Raw genomic sequence first — 22,673 nt, forward strand, 5'->3', positions numbered from 1 at the left:
CATAGATGGTATAGCCTACTACACACTTAGGCTAGATGGTATAGCCTAAAGGCTACAAACTGTATGTCATATTACTGTACTGAAGATTGTAGGCAATTGTAACACAATAGTAAGTATTGTGTATCTAAACATACCTAAACATTAAAAAAGGTACAGTAAGACTACAGAATAAAAGATAAAAAAAAATTCTTAACGCTTGTATAGGGCACTTATAAATGGAGCTTGCAGTACCAGTTGCTGTGAGTGAGTCAGTGAGTGAATGGGGAATGAATGTGAAGGCTAGGACCTTATTATACATTACTGTAGACTTTATCAACACTCTACATTTAGATTACACTAAACTTACTTTTAAAATATTTTTCTTTTCTCAATAAATTAACCTTAGATTACTGTAATTTTTTTTTTACTTTATAAATGTTTTCATTTTCTTTATGTTTTTGGCTCTTTTGTAATAACATTTAGCTTAAAATACAAATACATTGTATAGCCATACAAAAATATTTTCTTTCTTTATATTTTTATTCTATAAGTTTCTTCTGTTTTTAAAAAAATTACATTGTTTTTACTTGTTAAACATTTTGTTAAAAACTGATTCAAACACAAATTAGCCTAGGCTTATGAAAAAATATTTGTGTGCATATATTTTATTAAACATCATAGATATTTCTGTCCAGTATACACCTAGATGTAAAAATGCCCAGATCTGGGCATTTTTACGTCTGTTCAGCTTTAGGAGATAATACTAAAAAATTTTCCAAAGTACTTACATCAATTACACCTTTCCCAGTAGTGTGGAGGTTTCTCCTTTTTCCACACCCTTACCAACACACTGCGTTGTATCTTTCATTGCAGCCATCCTTATGGACTTGTGCCAGTGTCTCTTTGTAGTTTTAATTTTCATATTCCTGATTGCTAGTGAGTTCATTTGCCATTTAAATAGCCTTTTTTTGTGTGAAATCCCTACTCAAGTCTCTTGCTCATTTTTCTACTGAATTACCTATTGTTTTTTAGAGTTCTTTATATGTCCTGGATATGAGCCTTTTTCTGTTATATGTTTGTCAAATATATTCTGCCACTCTGAGGCTTACATTTTCACTCTCTTCACTCTCTTTTTGTTGAACAGATAGTCTTAATTTCAGTGTGGTCCAATTTACCAGTCTTTTTTTATGGTCAGTACTTTTAGTGCCCTGTTTAAACAGTCTTTCCTTACCCCATAGTCATGAAGATCACTGCCTATGTTTCTTCTAGAAGCTTTATTGTTTTGCCCTTTACATTTAGACCTACAATCTACCTGGAATTGATTTGTATGTATGGTGTAAGGTGAGGTACAAGTTTTACTTTTTTTGTATGGTTGTAATTCAATGCTGTTTTTGGATAAACCATCCTTTACCCACTGCTTTGCAGTACCTTCTTTGTACAAATCAAATGTCCGTATATATTTGGATCTATTTCTAGGCTTTCTGTGCTGTTCTACTGGTCTTTTGTCTATCCTTCTGTAATGTGCTATTTTAATAATTAGGTCTTGATAAGTCTAGACATCTGGTAGAGTAAGTCTTTCTACGTTTTCCTTCCCCATTAAGATTGTCTTAGCTTTTGCTGACCCCTTGCATTTGGATATTATATTAGTCAAGATTCCCTAGAGAGACAGAACCAGTAAGAAAAAAACATAGAGAAAGAGAGATTGAGATTTATCATAAGGAATTGGCTCACACAATTATAAAGGCTGAAAAGTCCCAAGAACTACCGTCAGCAAGTGGAATACCCAGGAGTACCGATGGTGTAGTTCCAGTCTGAGACTGAAGGCCTAAGGACCAGAAAACCCAGTGTTCTGAGTGCCAATCTGAAAGCTGGATGCTTGAAGCCCAAGAAGAGCAAATATTTCCATTTGAGTCTGAAAACCTGAGTCCCAGCTCAGCAGTCAGGCAGAGGAGTTCCCTCTTACTCAGCCTTTGCATTCTGTTTAGATCTTCAGTTGCTTGCATAAGGCCCACCCACATTAGTAAGGGCAGGCTACTTTATTCAGTTTACTGATTAAAATGTTAATTACATCCAGAAACACCTTCACAGACACACCCAGAATAATGTTTGCCCAAATCTCTGGCCACCCCAGGGGTAAAACCTGGGACCACCTGAATGGGAGGAGCAAAGCTGATGGCATTTCATATACCAGCCTCTACCCTACTCCTACTTTCTATGCACTATGATGAAACAGGCAGTAGAAACAATGTCTTTTGAAACAGGCAGTAGAAACAATGTCTTTTCTTTTCTTTTCTTTTCTTTTCTTTTCTTTTCTTTTCTTTTCTTTTCTTTTCTTTTCTTTTCTTTTCTTTTCTTTTTTAAGGGGAGCTATGTTTAGAAAGGGGACACAGGAAAGTGACCACAGCAGGCTTGCAATTTCTGGGAGGAACTGAGAATAGTATCTGTTGCAACCACCAGTGATAGCTTGTTCAGTCCACATTCCCTATCAGGAAGAAGAGTGCAAGTAGCCCCGGCAGCAGCTTTAAACCTTGATTCCATGTGAGCTGCACAAACCAAAGTAGGCACTTTAGCAAATTCTTATAGGAAAGGGTTCCTGATCCAGACCGAAAGAGAGGGTTCTTGGATCACACACAGGAAAGAATTCAGGATGAGTCCAAAGGATAAAGTGAAAGCAAGTTAATTAGGAAAGTAAAGGATAAAAGAATGGCTACTCCATAATCAGAGCAGCCCTGAGGGCTGCTGGTTTCCCATTTGTATGGTTATTTCTTGATGATATGCCAAACAAGGAGTGGATTATTTATGCCTCCCCTTTATAGAACATATAAGTTAACTTCCTGATGTTGCCATGGCATTTGTAAACTGTCGTTGCACTGGTGGGAGTGTAGCAGTGAGGACAAGCAGAGGTTATTTGTGTCAGCATATTGGTTTTGATGAGTTTTACCTGGCTTATTCACTGCAACCTGTTTTATCCCCAAGGTCTTCATGACCTGTATCTTTTGCGACCTCCTATCTCATCCTGTGACTTAGAATGCCGTGACCATCTGGGAATGCAGCACAGTAGGTCTCAGCTTCATTTTACCCAGGCCCTATTCAAGATGGAGTTGCTCTGGTTCAAATGCATCTGACATTTTCCCCATCCCTTTTATAAGAGAAGCCTTAATCCTTAGGGTTGCAGAGGGATTAAGATCCGTCTTCTGTAACATCTTCAGGCTGAAGAGGGGTGATGATATTCCTGCCTATCTATTAGGGTCTCTTGTGTTCAGGGTACAGGGGAGCTCAGTCAGAAAGCACTGGTATGTTGAGGGTCATTCATAACTCTTGAGTTCTGACAGAAGGTGATATCTGAAAGAGTAACAATTGAAAATTAATTATTGATTAATATTGATAAAATTGAATAGAATATCAATTCTGGTTTTCACATTACCTAGCCCTCTTGTTTCTTCTGAGCAGCAGTCAGAGATCACTGGTTGGTTCCCAGGAATGAGCAGCGTTAGCCTAAATTGCAGAAACAAACTTGAAAACAGCTGATGAGACTAGAATCTAACAACAGGTGTACCATAGTTCTTGAAACATATTTCTCTCTCCAGTTTCCCATTTATCCTAAAGACAAATTATAATAAGGCCAATTTGCTTTATTATACTTGGCCTGATTATTTGTATAAGGTGCAGCAAGAATAATTATTTGCCATATGGGCTATTTGAATTGGCTTTGATGGAACTCTGTTCCATAAGGAATCTCAGATAAGACTTTTTTAAAGCCAAGCCCAGCCATGGGTTTGTACCCTCACATACCTAAGAGTTTGGTAAATTTCTCTTCTCTTGAGGTCCCAAGATAACTTGGGGCTCCTGGGCCTGTCAGAAAGTGACATTCTTTACTTACCACAGGCCAGGAACCCTATACAGAGACTGTGTAGACAAAGTATCAAGTTTTCCCAAAGGACTTTTATTGGCTTTACACATCAAGTCTGATTCCTCAAAGCACACCATTCCAGTCAAAGCCTTAGTAAAATAATCAGTTTCTCCAATTGTGTCCTGTTGCAAAAGAAAACAGATTCTTATTATACTTCTTGTTGCAAATACCTATATTGCCATAAATTAAGAACACTCACGAATAGTTGTCAAATTCTGGAGAAATTGGGTAGAAAAAACAAATATGCTCCAAATTTTGTTCACACGAGCATACTTTACCCAATTGTTAAAAGCTGTAAATAGCTCCAAAGATGAGTTGTCTTGACTCTGGGCGGAAAAAAGGATCAGCAACATTTTAAGCAACAAGTTAAAAAAGATGATTTTAGACTTCTGTTAGTTTAGTCCACAAAATTAATTTCTGTTTGATATTCATGAACATTTCAGCTCTCTATGAGAGTTCTGAAAGGTTTTTTCCTCTATTCAGAGATCACAATCTCCAAAGTTATCAGAAACCTGCATTTAAGAATACCTGTTAGAGTTCTATAGCTGACTATAAACGACCTTTTGAAGAGGATCAAAACAAAACAATTGTTTGTGGATGACAAAACATCGCACAGTCAAAAACATGATTGACAAAGCAATTTAGTTATCTCAGTGGCATACAACGATTTTATGTAGCAATTATAACTATTAGTGACCTATACTAAGTCATATGAGAATTGTAGGCGTTTCCCATCATTTTGGAACACATACCAATAACACATTTATGCAAATATAGCCCAAAGAAAGCTAAATACTGTTTCACATTTGACAATGCTTCCTGTATGATGTTTATACCAAATAAGCCAAATTTTACCTTTACATTAGTGTACTATTAATTTTACACTCAATTCTTAATAAAACCTTATAGACATATCTACCCAATTTTAATGTTTGACCATAAGGTAAGATTCTCATAAACCTTTTATAACCCTTTACAATTTCTGTTAAAGAGCAGATCATAAACAGGATTTTGCTCCAAGAAAAACCTGTTGTCATTTATGCCAATGTTCAGTTTACAGAAAAACTGAATAATACCCCTTTAATTTTAGCCAATGGCCACACACAGAATTTCTTTTACAATTTTTTCACAAATCTGCCCCAACTTGCTTAAACCTTCAGCTTTATCTTATCTAATTGTAAAATACCCTTTAATGTAGGAAAAAAAAATCCACATTCCCATGACTTCTTATAATCTTTTGCCAAAAACACATTTCACTTTCTTTATACACCTTACATATAAAACTGTTTCTTTAGTAGTCTCAAATACTTGTTACGCTGTTAACTCTTGGCAACTTTTGCTTTTGGCAAAAAGCTTGGTAAGTTCAGCATTCTAATTATGTACTAGGCATGGAGCCTAGGACCCAGACAGAAGTACAGATAAGGTCTGACTCTTTCCAGCATCTTATTCCATGTGTCCCAGGCCTTACCTAGCCATAAAGCAGGCAAGTTACAGTAAGAGTCATAGTGGCATTTTATGAAGCATTAAGGGGGCCTAACGACCTTCAAATTGTACAACATTTCTTGCACAAACTCCCTTTCACTAATCCTTTCACGACTTACATAGACTATGACATGCTTAGACTTTCTGACTTTTCCTAAACATCCCTCTTTTTAAGCAACCAGTTGTTTTACTTTAGGACAAGAATCTACCATACAAGATTGTTTTTTATATAACATCTGTTTTCTTTACAACCTTCTTTGCATAGCTAGGGGGCATGGCTAATTTCACATGTCCCCAGCCCTATCTACAATCTAATGCTCCTAAATAAATTGAACAATTTTCAAAAGTCAAAGAAGCCATTTATGACCGTAAAGTATTTGGAAAACCTGATACCTGATCTGCATAATTTACACCAAATGTTACATTTTTGAAGAATTTTTGTTTTACCAATAATCTTTATTAAAACTGTCTTGATTTCCCTAAGATTACTAAAGTCACATGAACTGAACATCATTCTACTTTTTACTTTTCTGAAAAAATATTTGATTTAAGTTCTTCTTATTAATAAACTAATTAGAGCTCTTTCATATATAAACATCACACACATAATACATTTAAATATGGAGACACGCAGAAGATGAAGGACTCCTTCCCTAAGCCAGGAATTGAACCCTGGACCGGGGCCGCCATTGTGAAAAGAGAAAGCATGGCCACAAGGTTACAAGGTCAAGCTCCCAAGGACATACAAGACGAGGGAAACCTCGTCCAGTTTTAGTTTTTTGGGGGACTTGCAGCAAAGTTTGTAACTGACCAGTTTGCTGGGCCATCTTGAAAGCAGGCTTACAGGTGTCCTAACCCTATGTTCTCTCCTAAGGTACCCCTCTTTATGACAGAACAATACAGAAAGACAAAGTACACCAGATTGGCTACAGGTTAAGATTAGGCTTTCAAATCATTTCTCCCATTAATCAAAACTTTACAGAGGAGACAGTGATTTTTACCATTCATTCAACTGGTTTGCACAGAGGGGAAGGGAAGGGAAAAAGGGAAGGGAGCATTGCTTTTGGCAGTGTGGGGAAGGTGAGGTGCTCAGGGAGGCCAGAGAAAGACCTGCCCATTGGTGCCAACACTGAATCAAAAGTTCAGCCAGTTGCTTTTCAGTCGAGACGGGATCTTTTCCAGCATTCCCATTTGCTCTCAAGTTTCCCCTTTTAGGGAGGAAAAAGCTTCCTCTGTCCCACAATCCTACATGCGCCTAATCCTCTCACCCATAACCATAAGCAAAAAGTGCAAGGCAGATTATTCCAAAGAGAATAGCAATTAACATCCCATAGTGCCAAACCCATTCTTAGCCAAAAGGGACTTTACTGAGAGGGGCCTCTAACTTCCTAAATCTTAGAAGGGATTCTAACCCTCCTAAATTTGCCTTCAAATCCAGGGTCGGTCAAGTTTCCTTGCTTTTTAATAAGAGGGGCTTTTAACCCACTTTGACTTAAGGAGAGACCCTAACTCCCCTAAGTTGACCTCTAACCCAATGCCATCCTTCAGCCGAGTACCCAACCACTCACCCAAGGTCGGCCAACCAGTGCTGTCGTCTCTTTCCTTTGGTTTGGGGCTGAGGGCTTTCTTCAGTATCGTCCCTTCGGGGCTTGCCAGAAAGATGTTACCAGACCCCAACACTTACCCAATATTAGCCTTTGAGTCGGGGGTTTTCTCACTATTGTCCCTTCCATGGTTGCCAGAAGGATGTTACAGGAAAGGGGTCCCAATCCAGACCCCAAGGGAAGGTTCTTGGATCAGGCGCAGAAAATAATTCAGGGTGAGTCCACAGAGTAAAGTGAAAGCAATTTATTAGGAAAGTAAAAGAATAAAAGAATGGCTACTCCATAATCAGAGCAGCCCTAAGGACTGCTGGTTGCCCGTTTGTATGGTTATTTCTTGATGATATGCCAAACATGGAGTGGATTATTTATGCCTCCCCTTTATAGGCCATATAGGGTAACGTCCTCATGTTGCCATGGCATTTGTAAACTGTCATTGTGCTGGTGGGAGTGTAGCAGTGAGGATGACCGGAGGTCACTTTTGTCAGCATCTTGGTTTTGGTGGGTTTTAGCCGCCTTCTTTACTGCAACCTGTTTTATCCGCAAAGCCTTAATAACCTGTATCTGTGCTGAACTCCTGTCTCATCCGTTGACTTCGAGCGCCTTAACCTTCTGGAAATGCAGCCCAGTAGGTCTCAGCCTTATTTCACCCAGCCCCTATTCAAGATGGAGTTGCTCTCATTCAAACACCTCTAACAAAATAATCTCAACTGCAAAGATGAGATATAATCAATAATTATCCAATGTTTAAAGTGCACCAACATCTTGAAACAGCAATGTCGACAAGGCCTGTAAATATTTTACAGAGTTTCATTCTGAGCCCAATATAATTGACCAAGGCCTGAGGCACGGTTTTTTGTTGTTATTGTTGTTGTTGTTGTTGTTTAGACGGGGTCTCATTCTGTCACCCAGCCCGGGGTGCAGTGGCGTGATCTCAGCTCACTGCAACCTCCTCCTCCTGGGTTCAAGCTATTCTCCTGCCTCAGGCTCCTGAATAACTGGGATTACAGGCGCCCACCACCATGCCCGGCTGATTCTTGTATTTTTAGTAGAGACCTCGTTTTGCCATGTTGACCAGGCTGGTCTCGAACTCCTGACCTCAGGTGATCCACCCCCCTCAGCCTCCCAAAGTGCTGGTATTACAGGCTGACCACCACACCCAGCCTGAGGCACAGTTTTAAGAGGTCCTGAGAAAATGTGCCCGAGGTGGTTGGGCTACAGCTTGGTTTTATACGTTTTGTGGAGATATAAGACATCAGTCAGTACACATAAGGTGTGCATTGGTTTGATTCGGAAAGGAAAGGCAACTCAAAGCAGGAGTTTACAGGTCAGAGGTGGATTCAGAAATTTCCTGATTGCTATCTGTTGAAATGGGTAAGTTATTATCTAAAAACTGGGGATCAATAGAAAGGAGTATCTGAGTTAAAATAAGGGATTGTTGAGACCAAGTTTCTTATTATGTGGAATAGTTGGTAAATGTCTCTTATCAGACCTTAAAAGGTGCCGGACTTAGTTAAATCTCTCCTGGATCTGGAAAATACTTGGACAGGGGAGGGGATTCGCTACAGAATGTAGATTTTCCCTAGAAGAGACAGCTTTGCAGGACCATTTAAAAATATGTCAAAGGAATATATTTTGGGGTAAAATACTTTGATTTCTTTCAGAGCCTACTGTCATGTGATGCTATACCAGAGTCAAGTTGGAATTTGGTATCTCATTGCTGTGAAGAGTCTGTTTTTTCATTCTTAAGATCTCTGTTTTAACGTTAATACTCACTGGTCAGTTGTGCCTGAATTCCAAAGGGAGGAAGTTATAATGAGGCATGTCCAACCCCTCCTTCCCATCATGGCCTGAACTAGTTTTTCAAGTTTACTTTGGAATGCCTTGGCTGAGAGAAGGGTTCGTTCAGTTGGTTGGGGGGCTTAGAATTTTATTTTTGGTTTACAGCAACAATAAATGGATATATCTTGCAAAAAAAGTTATGAGACCAGCCAGAGATGATCACTAAGAATAATTAATATCATGAAAGCAAAGGAGAATGTTTTATTTGTAGGAAAGAAATAGGCAGTTATGGAAAAGAATGGATATTGATTTTTAAAAACGTTGAAACTGAACAACGCTGGTAAAGTTTCTTCAAAGTTCTATTTTTTTAGGTAAAAACATTAGCTACTTGATTTAAGAAAATGAAGAAAACATATTCTTTGAAAATGCTTTGATAAAGATAAAGCTGTACAAATTCAGTTTAACAATAAATGTTTGTCAAATGAATAACTTTCTTTTAATTTAAGGTGCTGTATTTTGGGATGTTATCCCTCAGAGGATTATTTTCTTGAAAAGGAAGGCATTTTTCTCCTTTTGGATTTGTTAGCAGTAAGTATGGCTATAACAATCATAAGACAAAAGACAAATATGTCTATTAAAGGCCGTTTCCAAACTGAATGCCACAGAGCACAAGTCTATGAATAAATGTGCCCCAAATCATGTTCAAAGGTACGGTCTTAAACAAAATTGCTCCTAGAAATTCATAATACACAGTGTTTTAAAGGCTCTGAAAATTCCTCTGGTTGGAAAGTCATTTTACCAGTGTTTTTTCAGTGTTTTCAAATACACGGGAACAAAGAATTTGTTTTTCTTTGTACTCCATCAACCTGTTAAGAAACAGTTTGTGAAGAGCTTGACCATATGAAAACCCATAGTCATTTATTAATAACTTCTAGTTTCTTCCCCTGATATTAAAAGATAAGGGCCACGTTAGACAAGGAGCAAAGATAAGCATTTTTAAAGAACTATGTATTATTTGGAGGTAACCTGAAGAAGTCTAGTGACTCATGGACCATTGTTTTGCAGAATGAGCAGATGTGAGCAAGCTAGGCCTTCCAATAGAGACAGTGCCATCTAGCAGCTGTGAAGAATATAGCCCCTTACTAGCCTCAATTCTAACTGGAATCCATAGTCAGGATGATATGGGAGGAAACGTACAATTTTGTTTCAATAAAATTTTGAGAGAGATTCTCACACAGAGTTCTAGCCCGCTCCCTGTCCGTGATTCTATGATTGCCACTATTCTTGATTTTATTAACAGAATAACAAACCTACTTTGATTTAGCAAAAGTGCTAAAATTATTTGTGCCCCTTAACCTCCCTGAAAGTTAGTTCATTTCTCTCTTTTCGATTTCTTTACCTGTAAAACAGAGATAACAACATTATATATCTTATTGTATTGTTGGAAGGATTAAATGAGTGATTGTATGTCTGTGTGTGCATCTAAGTGTGCATGCATACATATATATTATAGATTAAATATAGTGCCTAACATGATTCCTGTATTTACTGTTATTATGAATATTATTGCTAGAATATATTTAATGCTGATTCAACCAAATTAATTGCAAATTACAGATATTATTTAATGAAGATTTTATATCAATTTCAATCTTTCACATTTGCCTGTCTCCTGAAGTAGAGAAATAAAAAAACTCATTTCCTTGAGTGTTTTGCTTAATACAACTCTGCTGAAATATAAAGTATGTAATGATAACTGCTAATAATGGTTAAATGTTAATGAGAGCTGACTATGTACCAGGGAGTCTCATATAACTCATAATAACCCTTTGCAGGTAATATTATTATCCTTTCATTTTATAAAAGGAAACTGATGATGTTCGCAATTAAAACAAAAGCTTACATATTTCCTTTGCTATATTCAAATAACAGTATACTGTAAAAGTTAATCAACAAAAAGTATTTCACATAGAAGAATTAGATTATGGAGGCCATTGCTCTGGATGGAATTTTCTATACCTAAATTTTGGTGTACTGAAAACTACTTGTAGCAAAATAAAGGAAATATGCTTTATAATAGGAGAATTTTTTTGAATCCTTAAATACTCTTTTATGGATGATGATTGCCACAAAACCAAATTACATCTTGTTTTATTTTCATATGTGATTGTCATTTGCAGTTACCATCAGTTACTCTCTTAATAACAAAGAGATTACAGTTAGTATGAATCTTTACAAGCCTTAATAAAGCATATAAATTGGAAAGATCCTGTAATTACAGTGAACTCTGTATAACACTATCGAGCTTCGCCACTTAAAATGAACATCTTCACTTATTTGTGCAAATCTTTTTCCAACTCAGCCACATCAGTCACATTTTGGTCATGATATATGTTTATAATGACTTCAGAATTATATTAAATCTTTTACTTTTTATCCTTTTAAATTTCTAATGTTTGAAAATATAGTCATTACAATGGGTGTCCATTTTAACAGGAGATTTTCCTGACTCTGAGTTTAGAAGAAACTTAATGATAATAGAAGTGTTTCTCTCTTTTTTTTTTGAAGACAATAATTCTTAATATTTATTGCAACTTTTTTCCTTTTCTGTTTCCTTGCTAAAGTTGAACCAAAAAAAATTCTGTAATCTAATACTTGGAATAATGGTTGAATTTTGTGATAATCCCAAAACTGCAGCTCATGTCAATGCTTGGCAAGGGAAGAAGGATCAGACAGCTGCTAGTCTTTTAATTAAATTGTGGAGAAAGGAGGAAAAAGAACTAGGAGTAAAACGTGATAAAAATGGGAAGATCATTGGTGAGTATATTTATAATTGTTAGTAGAAGCAATTAATGTATATATTTTAAAAGATCTTTAAATGGTATTAAGAAAGCATCAGGCCTTTCACCCCTTTGTCTAAAGTTTTTTTTTTTTTTTTACAAGGGTTTGAAAAATTTGCTATCCTAAGTGACTGGAAGAAAACTAAGTAAATTAGTAGTAGGTTCATATTTTTAGAGAATATTTTTAAGAAATGGTATTTAATTATATTCTTTTAACTAAAAAAAAAATTAAAGTAGTTCCTAAAGATGCTTCTTTGGGTTTTCTGCTTTTATAGATAGATTCAATAATATTTCATTGAGATGTAAATAGATTGCTTCAAAATAATATTTTGGTATTTTATACATTTCTGTTCATTTTTCCTTTTTCTAAATCCATTAGGCAACATGATCTGATTAATGTTTATAGAGTTTACTTTTTATATGAAAGAAGATATTGTTTCCTAAATAAAAATAGTCCAAATGTTCAAAAATTTTAATTACTAGATTCTAAATTAATGAGACTTACAGTATCATAATTTTTAGTTCATTTACATATTCCATACTGCTATATTACATTTTTTTCTTTTTTTTTTCTTTTTTTTTTGTGAGACAGGGTTTCACTCAGGTCACCCAGACTGGGGTGTGATGGTGCAATCTTGGCTCACTGAAACCTCTGCCTCCCAGGCTCAAGCGATTTTCCTGCCTTAGCCTCCCAAGTAGCTGGGACTACAGGCATGCACTACCACACCCAGCTAATTTTTGTATTTTTTGTAGAGATGAGGTTTCACCGTGTTGCCCAGGCTGGTCTCAAGCTCCTGGGCTCAAGCGATCCACTCACCTCAGCCTCTGCCAAGTGTTGGGATTATAGGCATGAGCCACCACACCTGGCCAATATATTACATTTTCTTTTTTTCTTTTTTTTTTGGAGACAGAGTCTCGCTCTTTCGCCCAGGCTGGAGTGCAGTGACATGAACTCGGCTCACTGCAACCTCCGCCTCCCAGGTTCAAATGATTCTTCTGCCTCAGCCTCCTGAGTAGCTGGGTCTACAGGCACGTGCCACCATACCCAGCTAATTTTTGTATTTTTTTAATTAGAGACAGGGTTTCACCATGTTGGCTAGGCTGGTCTTGAACTCCTGACCTCAGGGGATCTGCCCAACTCCACTTGCCAAAGTGCTGGGATTACAGACATGAGCCACTGCACCCCGCCTACATATTCTAAGCCTTTTAAGATTCTTATGGTTTCATCTAAACGGTTCACTTTTTTTTTTAAATTTTATTTTAGGTTCAGGGGTACACATACAGGTTTGTTATATGGGTAAACTCATGTCACAAGGGTTTGTTGTACAGATTATTTTGTCACCCAGGTACTAAGCCTAGTACCCAATAGTTATTTTTTCTGACCCTCTCCCTCCTCCTACTCTCTACCATCTAATAGGCCTCAGTGTGTGTTGTTCTCCTCCATGTGTCCATGAATTCTCATCATTTAGATCCCACTTATAAGTGAAGACATGCAGTGTTTGGTTTTCTGTTCCTGTGTTAGTTTGCTAAGGATAATGGCCTCCACCTCCATCCATGTTCCCTCAAAATACATGATCTCACTATTTTTATGGCTGCATAGCATTCCATGGTGTATATGGACCACATTTTCTTTATCCAGTCTGTCATGATGGGCATTTAGGTTGATTCCATGTCTTTGCTATTGTGAATAGTGCTGCAGTGAACATTCATGTGTGTGTCTTTATGATAGAATGGTTTATATTCCTCTGAGCATATACTCAGTCACAGGATTGCTGGGTCGAATAGTAGTTCTGTTTTTAGCTCTTTGAGGAATTGCCACACTGCTTTCCACAATGGTTGAACTAATTTACACTCCCAGCAACAGTGTATAAGCATCCCCTTTTCTCCACAACCTTGCCGGTATGTTATTTTTTGACTTTTTAATAACAGCCATTCTGACTGATGTGAGATACTATTTCATTGTGATTTGAATTTGAATTTTTCTAATAATCAGTGATATTGAGCTTTTTTCATATGCTTGTTGGCTGCATGTATGACTTCTTTTGAAAAGTGTCTGTTCATGTCCTTTGCCCACTTTTGAATGGGGTTGTGTTTTTTCTTATAAATTTGTTTAAGTTCATTATAGATGCTGGATATTAGACCTCTGTCAGATGCATAGTTTGCACAAATTTTCTCCCATTCTGTTGGTTGGCTTTTCATCCTGTTGATAGTTTCTTTTACTGTGCAGAAGTTCTTAAGTTTAATTAGATCCCATTTGTCAATTTTTGCTTGTATTGTGATTCCTTTTGACATCTTTGTCATGAAATCTTTGCCCATTCCTAAGTCCAGATTGCTACTGCCTAGGTTGTCTTCCAGGGTTCTTATAGTTTTGGGTTTTACATTTAAGTCTTTAATCCAACTTGAGTTGATTTTTGTATATGGTATAAGGAAGAGGTCCAGTTTCAATTTTCTGCATATGGCTGGCTAGTTATCCCAGCACCATTTATTAAATAGGGAGTTATTTCCCCATTGCTTGTTTCTGTCAGCTTTGTTGAAGATCAAGTAGTTGTAGGTGTGTAGCCTTATTTCTGGGCTCTCTATTCTGTTATATTGAACTGTGTCTGTTTTTGTACCAGTACTATGCTGTTTTGGTTACTGTGGTCTTGTAGTTTAGTTTGAACTTAGGTAACGTGATGCCTGTAGTGTTGCTCTTTGTTTAGGATTTCCTTGGCTATTGGGGCTCTTTCTGGTTCCATATGATTTTTTGAATAGTTTTCTCTAGTTATGTGAAGATTGTTGTTGATAGCTTTATAGAAATACTATTGAATCTGTAAATTGCTTTGGGCAGTATAACCATTTTAATGATATTGATTCTTCCTATCCTTGAGCATGGGATGTTTTTCCATTTGTTTGTGTCATCTCTGATTTCTTTAAGCAGTATTTTCTAATTCTCATCATAGAGGTCTTTTGGCTCCCTGGTTAGCTGTATTCCTAGGTATTTTATTCTTTTTATGGCAATTGTGAATGGGATTGTGTTTCTGACTTGGCTGTTGGCTTGGCTGTTGTTGGTGTGTAGGAATGCTAGTCACTTTTGTACATTGATTTCGTGTCCCGCAACTTTGCTAAAGTTGTTTATCAGCTAAAGGAGCTTTTGGGCCGAGACTATGGAGTTTTCTAGATACAGACTCATGTCATCTGCAAACAGGGATAGTTTGACTTCCCCTCTTCCTGTTTGGATGCTTTTTTTTTTTCTTTCTCTTGCTTGATTGCTCTGGCCAAGATTTCCAATACTATGTGGTGAAAGAGCGCATGCCTGTCTTGTGCCAGTTTACAAAGGGAATGCTTCCAGCTTTTCTCCATTCCATATAATGCTGGCTGTGGGTTTGTCATAGATGGCTCTTATTATTTTTAGATATGTTTCCTTAAGTATTGTTTATTTTTAAATGTAAATACTTCCCCTTCTGATGACTTGTATCTTCAATCCATTTTTATTGTTTCTGAGTTTTGACCTATAGCATCATAAAATAGTTTTTATATTTATAGCATAATATATAGAAACCAAAAGTAAACAAGGTTACATCACTGTTAAACTGACATTACTCAAGTTCTGGATTTCAAAATTTTTTAAATTATTTACATAGAAGTTTTACTTTTAAAAAGTAATTTTGTGAAATTTTAATATTTTACATAAACAATAAAAATGAAGGCTCTAAGTTTTGCCACAGAGTGGGGAAGAAATAGCTGCTTAATTATTATTTCAAAAGTGTAACCGTGTAATAGGCACTATTTTTTTGCTACAATATTTTTATATATTTTATGTTATCTAGACTAAAATCTCAAAATTAAGTATTTGTTTACTATGGTTTTTATCTGTCCCTTTTCTATTTTCATGCTATCCAATGATTAGATACAAAAAAACCTCTATTTACTAGCTTTCAAGAAGAGCAAAAAATCATCCCACTGCCTGCTAACTGCCCATCTATTGCGGTTATGGATGTTTCTGAGAATATTAGAGCAAAAATTTATGCTATATTGGGCAAACTAGGTAAGAAGTTCTCTTCAAATTTGCAAGAGTCTGTTTTGCTAAGTATACACACTGATTTTACTTTGGAGACAGTTTTTCAAATATAATGAGCAAAAATCTCTTTATATAGAGAAATTCATTTTCCATTGTTACCCCAATTCCCAAACTGCACCCCTCACCAATTAAATCAGAATCTCTGTGTGTGGGATCCAGGCAATAGTATTTTTTAAAGCTCCCCAGGCAATTCCAATGTGCAGATAGGATTAAGGACAGTTAGTTTAGATGATTAAGCTTAAAATACTGACATTCTGAGTCACTTGAGTTTTTTTTTTTAAGTCTTTGCTGTCTATTAAGGAAAAAGTTTATCAAACACTCTTCAGCTTCTGAAGTAAGATATTATTGTCTGACTACAACACAGAAAGAAATGATTCCTATATATTGGATGACCTGGCAGAAATGTGTTATAGAAAGAAGCCTACTCACAAGCTACTCACAGAATTAACTTTTTCATAAATCAAGATGAAATCAAAAGTAACTTTGCATTTGTTTTTAGATAGGTAGATAGATAGATAGATAGATAGATAGATAGATAGATAGATAGATTCTTAGAATCACTTGCTCTGCTAAAGTAATTCTGTCTTTATAAACTTTATTTTAGATTTTGAAAATTTACCTGGCCTATCTGCTGAAGATTTTGTCACCCTTTGTATCATACATAGATATCTTGATTTTAAAGTAAGTATCTTTTTAATAACCTGATTATTAAAATCTAGATAGCAAAAAATTAACTGGAAAATAAAATATCTATTCATGGTTGTGAGCAATCATCTACATACTGTATAGTTTTTATTTTTCATTTTGCATCTGATGCTGTTGAAGAAATACACCATACACCCATCCCATGATTGGGTGTTTTTCATGGGATAAGATTTCATCCAACTTAGTTTGTGAAAGAAGATGTACAAAACTGATATAAGCCGGGCACGGTGGCTCACGCCTGTAATCCCAGCACTTTGGGAGGCCAAGGCAGGTGGATAACGAGGTCAGGAGATCAAGACCATCCTGGCTAACATGGTGAAACCCTGTCTCTACTAAAAATACAAAAATTAGCTGGATGTGGTGGCGGGCGCCTATAGTCCCAGCTACTCGGGAGGCTGAGGCAGGAGAATGATGTGAACCTGGAAGGTGGAGCTTGCAGTGAGCCAAGATTGCGCCACTGCACTCCAGCCTGGGCGACAGAGCGAGACTCCGTCTAAAAAAAAAAAAAGAAACTGATATAAAACTGTTCAGAAGCCTAGCAAAAAAAAAAAAAATTATTTTTATGAGATGGAGATTTTGCTCTTGTCACCCAGGCTGGAGTACAATGGCATGATCTTGGCTCAATGCAACCTCTGCCTCCCAGGTTCAAGTGATTCTCCTGCCTCAGCCTCCCAAGTAGCTGGGATGACAGGCACCCGCCACCACGCCCAGCTAATTTTTGTATTTTTTAATTTTTGTATTCTCATGCCTGCAATCCTAGCACCTTGGGAGGCCGAGGTGGGTGGATCACCCAAGGTCAGGAGTTCGAGACCAGCCTGACCATACAGTTTCTTCTCTTTGGAGTTGAAATTAAATAAGTTTTTATTTATTAAAATAAATTATTAATACTTATTAAAGTATTATTTTATCATTACTTTATATTATGATCCAATCTTGATTAAAAGATAGTAGGTTACTTACCTTGCTAGTTATATTTGTCAGTAAATACTTTTGAAGTCTCAAGAAAGTCTTTTTAAGTTAACATTGTCCTTCTACTAATATTAGTACTGTATATTTGGATGTTGTAAATGAGTAAACCTCTATTTTCTTTCTTTCCTTCTTTTTTTTTTTTTTTTTGAGGCAGAGTCTCATCCTGTCACCTAGCCTAAAGTGCAGTTGCATGATCACAGCTCACTGCAGCCTCAACCTCCCAGGCTCATTTGATCCTCCAGCCTCATCTTCCCAAGTAGCTGGGACTACAAGTGTGTACCCCCATACCCAGCTTTTTATTGGGGGGGGGCGGGGCGGGGTAGAGACAAGGTCTCACTGTGTTGCTCAGGCTGCCTTCAAACTCCTAGGCTCAAGTGATCCACCCACTCCATTCAGCCCAAAGATGAATTTTTTCCTTATCATAGATATATAATTTTTTTCTTTAATTTTATGGGTCCAGCACACTTCTGCTGCACAACTCTGCTCTTTTTTCTCTAATTCTAAATACACTCAAGAACGTTAACTTCTAGACAGCCTAGAATATGAGATGGAGCCACTGACATGATGGAACCATGGAGTTAAAAGCTTGAGATTCCATTATAATTTGCCTTAGCTAGAAAGTGAGGGGCAGGGCCCCTTTCTCAGGGTGGCTGGGTTCTAGGGTCCTAGTAATCCCCATGTTCATTCTCCTAAAAGTTCATCTTGACCTAGCCTTCAATATAGGGCTTTAGGGAGGAAAGTAACGATAGTTCAGAAAGATCAGAATAAATCAGCAGTTTCTGCAGCTGTGAAATCAAGGTAACTATAAACTAGAGGGCAGTGATGATGGTGATGATGGCAGGGAACTAGGCATAGGAGAGCCTTATCCATGAATAACATACCATTGAAAAACATTTGATAAATTCCTACTGAGTACTCAAATGTAGCTGGTACCCTCAATCATTCCCAATGCACTTATTCCCAGGAAGTAATTTAGGAAAAGTTTAAGTGTTAACAGGAGTGACTAACCATATAAAAAATTGTATAATTGTACAATTGCATGATTTGTTTTTGGTTAATTTAACTTTGTTAAACTTTGTTATAACAGATTGGAGAAATATGGAATGAAATATATGAAGAAATAAAATTAGAAAAATTAAGACCAGTCACTACAGATAAAAAAGCTTTGGAAGCTATTACAACAGCATCAGAAAATATTGGAAAGATGGTTGCTTCTCTGCAAAGTGATATAATTGAAAGCCAAGCATGCCAAGACATGCAAAATGAACAAAAAGTATATGCAAAAGTAAGCTACATAGGTAGTGAGGAGGGAGAATGAAGATAGGTTGGTTAATGGGCACAAAAATACAGTTAGATAGAATAAGTTCTGTTGTTCAATAGCACAGTAGGACAACTATAGTAACAATAATTTATTGTACATTTCAAAATACCCAGAAGACTTGGAATGCTCCTAACACAAAGAAATGATAAGTGTTTAAGGGGATGGATATCCCAATTACCCTGATCATTACACATTGTATGCACATATCAAAATATCACATGTATGCCATAAATATGTACAACTATTATATATCAATAAGAAAGTAAGCCACAGATACCATTAAGGCACAAGATAATAATTTCAATGTATAAACCCAGATGAAGTTATCCATAAGATATATTTTTCTTACTTGTGGGTGTTTCAGCCTTGAGTTATTTTGTGGTTTTCTCTTAGAGTTATTTTCAGTGTCTCTGTGCAGTTTTAAAAGAAACTATGGAGTTTGAGATTGAGTTACTATATTCAATGCTGTTTTTTTGCATTATAATTTTATTTCTACAGTCTTAAATTTTTAAAAGGCAGAGAGATACTTGAGACATGCCACTGGACTCCAGCCTGGGTGACAGAGTGAGGTTCTGTCTCAAAAAAAAAAAAGAAAAAAAAGAAACTGAAACTTAATTATCTTTCTCATTTCAGATACAGGCCACGCACAAGCAAAGAGAGCTGGCTAATAAATCATGGGAAGATTTCTTGGCTAGAACATCAAACGCTAAAACGTTAAAGGTAGGATTTTTAATGTATTATAGTATCCACAACAAATAGCCAACTCTTACAGACAGACTTTTTCAGGAACAAATATTCATTCATTTTTTCCTAGTGACCTTTCCGTACAATACCAGCACTATTAGATGCTCATATGCAATTTAGAGTGATAAGTGAAACTGCATTTCACAGTTACAGAAGATGCTGCTTTGAGTTTCATTTGGTTTATCAGGGAGAAACAAGGCTGATGTTCTTGACCTACATAAAGAAGAAGATGATAGCCAGGAATGAGCAGGAAAATGTGTTCTGCTTTCCATTCTGAACCTGCTTATTCATTGATTTCTTTTCTGTGAGAGGCAAAGTAAAGGACACAAAGAGCAACTATCTTGTATTACTCTGTCCCCCAAGAGCTTTTCCCTCTGTGATCACCAAAAGAAGCATTATGTTAAACTTAAATGTGAACTGGGGATAAATATCCCTTTGTAGAAAAATGTGGTAAGCTACTTCAACTGTAAGCTAGAAACTAATCTAAAAAATGTATAGTGCTAATCGTTCACTTGAAATATGTGAGAAACACCATGGATTTCCAGAATTTCATTACTTTTCCCCACCCTTTTCCATTAATATCTTGGATACACTTTTTAAAAAATCTCTCCTTCATTTCTGATACTTTGGATAGACTTTACCTAATGTTTCAATACTTCCTATAGATATAAAATTGCTAAATGTTAAGTTAGTCCACAAGACGGTGGAACCATATTAAGATAGCAAAACCAAATTTAAGAACAAGCTCACTCAAGGTACCAAGTTATCTCCCTGTTCACTGAAAGTTCTTCCCAATTCTACTTATAAAATGTCTTCCTAACTGCCTGTATTTTTAGCACTAGTTAATGAAAATCAGCTCCTTTCCTGCAGGTCATTTATTACTTCACATTTCACTTGTTTAGTGTAGCAAATACCTTGAAAATAACTTCAAATAGCTTAAATATAACTGCAATGAATTACATAATTTATATTATTCTGAATGCTTAAAACATTTAAGTGTACTTAATCAGTTGGTAATTTATGCAATATGTTTTGCAATATGCATCACCTGATATAAATTTAATAGCTTATTAAATTATGTGCTAAAAATTGAACCTGATTTCTTCAGGATCTGCTTGACTCCTTGGTCATATATGGATTTCTTGGACTACTTCCAGAAATCTCTGGAAGACTTTTAGGTGACTGGAGTCTTCTTCAATGTGCAAAGTATCTAACTTACTAATAACTGTCTTTTTAGTCTAAATGAGTAAATGCAGATTTCAGCGCTATCTAATAAACAACCAAAGCATAAGCCAGACACAATTAAATATGTTTTTCATTGTAAGTACCATCATTACTGATTTAATAGCAATTAATATTTTCTTTCTAATTTAAAAATCCTCAGAAAGCAAAAAGCCTTCAAGAAAAAGCTATAGAAGCCTCCAGATACCATAAACGACCACAAAATGCAATATTTCACCAAACACATATTAAAGGCCTTAACACAACGGTAAGATTCTTTCTCCATAACATTTTCTTAATAGACATTAAATTTAGAGTGTTTGAACAACTGTGCAAATATACTGAAAACCATTGAATTTTACCCATTAAATGGATGGATTGTGTGGTATTGAATTATATCTCAATAAAACTGTTCAAAAAAAATTTTAAATTTAAAAATTAGAAGTTAAAAAAATTAATAAAAAAAAAACTTAGGCCCCCAAAATATTATGTCAATGGGATTTTCATCTCACATTTTTTCTTTTTGCTGTTCAAATTTCACATCATTAAGGCATATTTATCTCCAATGTATATCCACTTTTGCCCGGTTCTGGTTTAGAGTAGGCCCAGCCCTCCAGGATTTCTAAGAAACTGCTATAAACACTAGTCAGCTTATAATTGTCCTTATATCTCTTTAACAGAAAAGACGCAGTGCTTCCCCTTTTCCTGGCGAGTAGATCCCAAGTGTTCCTGGTATCCTCTGCTAGACTTAATTTGCCCCCAGTTACAAAGCTGATAAGCAATAGAAATAGAATTCAAACCTACTTTTCCTGGCTCCGATGCCCTTATCTTTCTATTATACCATAACTGCCTCCTAGTTATTCATTACATTTGTGTCTTTTCAAAAGTAAGCTGAAGGATGAATGAGTTTTTCTCTTGTTGAAAATTGTGTAAATGGACTTTTAGATATTTACCTTTTGCCTTTTTAGGTGCCCTCTGGTGGAGTAGTAACAGTGGAAAGCACTCCTGCCCGATTAGTAGGAGGACCTCTGGTTGATACGGATATTGCTCTTAAAAAACTGCCCATTCGAGGAGGAGCCTTGCAGAGGGTGAAAGCAGTTAAAATTGTGGATGCACCAAAAAAGAGTATTCCTACGTAATATACTATAGAGACTTTTTGAAATAAAGTCAGCTTATAATTTTTTAGCTGAATATATCTTTATACATATGTAAAGCCAATATTTTAGAATAAGTATTTTAGTATAAATATTTTAGTAAAATACTATAAAAATAAAAGGACATATAATTTATTTTTATGGAAAACATCAACATGTAATATCAGAAGAGTTGTCATCAGTTTCTTTGGAAAGGCTACCAATTTTACTAAGTGAAATTGTAAAACATAGTACATCAGTTAGGACTCTGTTGGTTGCATGTGAACTATTCTAACTAGTTTAAGTCAGAAAAAAAATTTCTTACAGGCTCTATACCTATCAAATCTAGGAGGAATTTAGACTACAGGCATTGCTGAATCTAAGGACTAAAACTATATGAGTAGGATCTTCTCCTTCCCTAGCAGCTCCTGGCTTACATTCTCTTAGGTTCATGCCTGTGTCTCTGTGGTTTCTGCAGCTGCCTATGCATCTCAGGACCCCTGATTGCCCACATGCCTACGGTAGTCCTGAGCCATTCACCATGACTTTGGCCATGGCTGAGTACTGCCTATTCCTGGAGCCAGAAGCAGGGCAACTCCATCCAAAACATATGGATAGAGTGGGGAATCAGGGTACTATTATCAGAAGCAAGTATATATGAATATTGGGCAGCAAGATAAACAATAACTCTGCAACAAGTATGTTGGTCAAAATAAAATTATGTTTTCTCTGCTATAAAAGCAAATGTTAGTCATGAGCCAAATGGTAAAAAAGAAAAAAAAATGCAGCTGGTTTTACTCTTAATATATAAATATACAAAGCAAACTCTAATGCTACTTCTCTTCTTTAATGGGGAAGGGAAAGGTGTAATGGGGGAAGTGTTTTCCCTCATTTGGTAGTAGAGGTATCTTGTCAAAGAATAGGAGATA

General features: G+C 36.3%; 1 protein-coding gene across 27 annotated transcripts in view; it reads left to right on the forward strand.

Annotated features, from left to right (window-relative positions):
- The window catches only part of CFAP69 (cilia and flagella associated protein 69), a 78,550-nt gene that overhangs the window by 43,315 nt on the left and 12,562 nt on the right, over positions 1–22,673 (forward strand). For 13 of the 27 annotated variants that reach the window (XR_927530.2, XR_927531.3, XM_011516577.3 and 10 more), the window contains 8 exons: positions 9,261–9,342; positions 11,379–11,571; positions 15,481–15,618; positions 16,256–16,332; positions 18,413–18,610; positions 19,280–19,366; positions 20,775–20,879; positions 21,580–21,746. Coding sequence is in view for 25 of the 27 variants with exons in the window: in XM_011516577.3 (XP_011514879.1) it covers positions 9,261–9,342; positions 11,379–11,571; positions 15,481–15,618; positions 16,256–16,332; positions 18,413–18,610; positions 19,280–19,366; positions 20,775–20,879; positions 21,580–21,746 (1,047 nt within the window). In the remaining 2 variants the exon portion in view is untranslated. Of the gene's footprint in view, positions 1–9,260; positions 9,343–11,378; positions 11,572–15,480; positions 15,619–16,255; positions 16,333–17,475; positions 17,598–18,412; positions 18,611–19,279; positions 19,367–20,774; positions 20,880–21,579; positions 22,576–22,673 lie in introns of those variants that run through there. The other 14 variants (NM_001039706.3, NM_001160138.2, XM_047420849.1 and 11 more) reach the window with 12 other exon arrangements.

This window comes from Homo sapiens, chromosome 7 (assembly GCF_000001405.40).
Source record: "Homo sapiens chromosome 7, GRCh38.p14 Primary Assembly".
Lineage (NCBI taxonomy): Eukaryota > Metazoa > Chordata > Mammalia > Primates > Hominidae > Homo > Homo sapiens.